The sequence below is a fragment of the Homo sapiens genome, chromosome 3 (assembly GCF_000001405.40).
Source record: "Homo sapiens chromosome 3, GRCh38.p14 Primary Assembly".
NCBI lineage: Eukaryota > Metazoa > Chordata > Mammalia > Primates > Hominidae > Homo > Homo sapiens.
The window spans coordinates 36,820,002-36,824,154 of record NC_000003.12 but is presented as its reverse complement, the minus strand read 5'-3'; the positions used below and the strand labels follow the sequence as shown (position 1 = coordinate 36,824,154).

General features: G+C 46.1%; 1 long non-coding RNA gene across 1 annotated transcript, besides 1 other annotated feature; it reads left to right on the top strand.

Annotated features, from left to right (window-relative positions):
• Positions 1,483 to 1,658: a silencer, noted in NCBI's record as "fragment chr3:36863988-36864163 (GRCh37/hg19 assembly coordinates)". NCBI's record gives its function as "represses an EF-1alpha promoter that drives an FKBP-Casp9 reporter gene in an ReSE screen in phorbol 12-myristate 13-acetate-treated (for megakaryocytic differentiation) K562 erythroleukemia cells {active_cell/tissue: K562(+PMA)}" and the evidence as "EXISTENCE:reporter gene assay evidence [ECO:0000049][PMID:32094911]".
• Positions 1,655 to 3,605, top strand: LINC02033 (long intergenic non-protein coding RNA 2033). Its single transcript, NR_147141.1, has 2 exons — positions 1,655 to 1,759; positions 2,738 to 3,605. It is a non-coding gene; the product is annotated as a long intergenic non-protein coding RNA 2033 (long non-coding RNA).
• The last annotated feature ends 548 nt before the right edge of the window (positions 3,606 to 4,153 follow it).

Below are 4,153 nucleotides of genomic sequence, written 5' to 3'. Positions count from 1 at the left end.
CCAACGAGCTCCGTGTAACTTATAGCTTATGTTGCACCTGCTCTCAGGTTGTGTGGAAAGAGGAAATATTGGTGTTCATAATAGGCTCTGGTTGTTACCAAGGTCTCCCACTGGTGGCCAGAGTGTATCAGCTATTAATCTCTCTAGTGCTGTCGAAGAGACTTTTCTAGGCTCCTCCCAAGGGGCTGAGTCTAGTACTGCCAGATGGGCTCACAGTTCATGGATATGTGAGAGGGATGAGGCTGGCAGATGGACAGGGCTTGTACTTTGCACTTTGGAGCTCTCAGAAAGAGCCCTCCAGGCCTGGACAGGAGGATCACTCCTGTGGCCTAAGAAAATGACCAAGGCTATAAATATCCAATCTCAAATCTCAACAAAGCAATTTCCAGGTTTTACCTTATATGCACATGTGAGGCATTCCATTTTATTTGTAAATGTTGGTGGCATTGGATATTCCTCTGTTTCCTTCTAATTTCAGTATGGTTTTAATAATGTTGGGGTTTAATGGTCTAACAGTAATATAATACATGTTAATCTCAGTCATGTAAGAAATGTCACATTTTATTTAATTCAAATCCTACTCTGGACCCTATTCTTGCTTTGGTGGGAAATGTGGCCTAAGTAATTATTGGAGGACCCTCTGCTTCTTTGGAATCTCTGAAGTATTAGGAGGCCAATCTGGTATGGGGAAAATGAAGGAGGCCCTCTCTCCTTCAGTTCATCACGGCTGCTGCTAACCCATTCCTGTCCCAGCTGATAGGGTATCTGAGAAGATGGGTGATTCTTCTCCCTCCAAGCCAAGCTTGACAAGACTAGAAGCTGTGAGGTATCTGATCTGGCCTCTGTAGATGAACAATTGAGCCACACCCTGAAGTTTTCTCACCTCCCCAATGTATTGCCATGAGGATAAGGACAGGTCCCTATTGGTCATGACATCCCTTGCTGCCTCACCCCTGAACAGAGAGAGCCTAAAGTCCTAGCTACTTTCTTGAAAAAAAAAAAAAGGGTAGAAAAATACACAGAGAGCAAACAAACACAAATTAATAACTGAATAAAGAGTTGAACTAGCCTGGGCAACGTAGTTGAGACCCTGTCTACAAACAACAACAACAACAACAACAAAAAAAAACAAAAATCCCCCAAAACCCAAAAAAACAAACAAAAAACTAGCTATGTGTGCTGGCATGCGCCTATGGTTCCAGCTACTTGGGAGGCTGAGGTTGAAGGATTGCCTGAGCCCAGGAGGTTGAGGCTGCAGTGAGCTGCGACTGTACCACTGCACTCCAGCCTGGGTGACAGAGCAAGACCCTGTCTCAAAAAGAAAAAAAAGGTGAGGGCTAGGTAGACTTCAGGGATGGCCACTATCAATTCCTTCCCATCTCTGTGTCACTTTGCCCATCCAGAGGTGGAGTCTGTCTCCTCTACGACTAGACTTGCTTTAGCCAACAGAATGCAGCAGAGATGATATGGTGCCCTTTCCAAATCTGGCCTTTGAGAGGCTTGGAAGCTTTTGGGGTAATCCAGCTGCCACATGAGAATTTGAATACCCTGAGACCAACATGCTGTGCAGAAGCCAGAGCTAGCCATGTGCAGAGGCCACATAGAGGAGCCCCAGGCACCATTCATGTAAGTGAAGCCCTCCTGAACATTTCGGCTTAGGTGACAGCAGGATGCGGCTGAGTCAGTGACCCCAGCGAAGGCCAAACGGAGCAGAAGAACCACCGGCTGAGACCTGCCCAAATTTCTGACCTCCAGAATTGTGAGAATTAATAAATCATTATTGTTTTAAGCTACCAAATTTTGGGGTGGTTTGTTATGCAGCAAAAGATAACCAAAACAAGGACTTCCAGCATGTCTGGTACTCTTAGGCATGTTGCATCTGTGACCTTTCAATCTTACAACAATTCTCCAAAATACAGAATGAGAACTACTCATTTATATATTGTGAAGTGAGGGGTGTTCCTGAGGTCAGTGAGCAGGTAGGTGGCAGAGCAGAACTACTGGATCCTATGTATTACACAGTTGGCCTTGGAAGAAAGGGCTTAATCCACCTCATTCATGGGCCTGAGTGGGATCTTATTACCACAGTACCTAGGAACCTAGTGCCCTGAAGGGATCCTGGAACCCACCCCTAGAACCAAGTGTTTGTCATTTACCTCCCATGTGCACTTTGGCAACTACCTAGTTGTGCAGGCCTTCACCAGCAGCTGAGACTTGGTTGCTGGGACAACCTGCAGGAGGGGTGGGTCCCTCTTATTAATGTTACGTTGTTCTTTCCACTGAACTCCTGGGTTCTGGTTCCCCTGGGCCACTGGCAGCCAACACTTCTGGCTGTCACAGACGGACAGGCTCATCCCTAACATTTTTGGGGTCTGGGGTAAGATATGGTGTCTTCTTCCCGCTCCTTCTCTTCCCACCCTTTGCTTTATCCTATACCATGAACAACCTCCCTGGCATGTGTGTGAACATTTCAGCCATAAATCTAAACTCATTACATGACTGCACCCCCTTTTCCCCAACCAGCCATGCTTGGCCTCTGCTCGGGCCCAGTACATCAGCGGCTGAGGGCTATTTGGACACGGGGCTCCTGGGTACTGAAATATGATTGGCGGGGGCCTTGAATGTGTACTTTTATTGCAGGTCTGGGGCATGGTATGTAGCTAACGAAGCAACATTGTGCTACTCTTCTTGGTCATTTCTCCTTGTGCATTTTTCTCCTTCATTTTTGTCCTTGCAGGACAAGAAGCCAGCTTTCAGAGATTCTCCAGCCATAACCATCATCATCTGCTCAATGCCCAACGTCTCTCTCCCATGCTGCCTCCCTTTCTCTCACACACACATAAAGTAAATGAAATAGTAAGTTCTCCCTGGCCTTCTCCAGCAGCCTAATCTGGCATCTGGGATGCCTTAAACATGTTCCTGGATCAATACCATGTAGTTGTGTCCCAGGTCTACAATACCATGTAGAAACCTGTGTCCCGGGTCATCTGTAAGATCATGATTCGAAGGATGGGTAAATCAATTCAGCAGGAAATTGCTCTCCTTTCTGCCACAAATATCTCTCCTAGACAATGGATACTGGCTTCCCCTGATCTTGTCACTCTAAATCTGCTTCAGAGATTTTGATTGGAGAACAAAAGCCCAGGTGGGCGCTTGAGGAGCCACCTTCCCCTCCCCCAACAACCACCATAATGGTGCAAAGTTTAAGAAGAGTTCACTGGAAAACTCTGTTTAACCCGATAGACTTTAATTCCTTTTGGTAGCAGATAAATCAGGCCTGCCATCAACAGACAGCTGATCCTTACTCCCACCCACCACCCAGGAAAATGCATTTCTCTGCTCAGTAAGAAGGGATAACCCATCAGCAAGGTACCAGGTGTTCTTGAGGTGGGTTGTTTAGAAACCTTCCTCCTGGTGCTGCAGAATTCTAACCCTGTTCAGGACTTTATGTCCTCTGTTTAAGACTCAGAATGTATCTTCTTATGGATGATGTGACCTGAATATCTGACAGGACATTTTAGGGGGATGGGCTGCAATGGGGAACAGGGTACTGTCATCACAGTATCTTTGGAGCAAGATCTAAGATTAAAATGTGGCTTCTCATACTGACTGTGTGAATTCAGACGCCTTACTTAAATTTTAAATTCTCTGAGCTCTGGGAATTTATAAAATGGAAATAATGGCACAAACGCATAGCTTGGTTGTAATTGCATTATTCTCCCTGTATTCCGACTTCTGTTTCACAGATGGACCAAGGATGTGAAAAGATTTCAGGCAGGTTCTCTGTTTCCACGGTGGCAGGGAGGGTCAGGATTGATGAGGAGCCCTGGGGCCACATGGGTCAGCTTTTGTGTTCCCTCTGTGGTGGTGGGAGCATTTCTAAGAGGGCTTTGTTCCAGGGACCCAGCCTTCTTTTAGAGACTGAGACTATTTTTAACCCAAGTTTTAGTGATTCTGTAGGACAGCTGTTTAAGGGAAATATGTAGGCCAGTCTGTGATTTTTGGAGTCATCATTTTAAGGTTAGGGAGTGGGATGGGGGAAGAGAACCAGAATAACTCTGGAGTTTCTGGAGGCATCGCAGAGATCTGCACCTACCCTGCAGAAAGCTGCAACCCAATTTACTTTGTGGCCACTCTTGAGGATCAGGACATA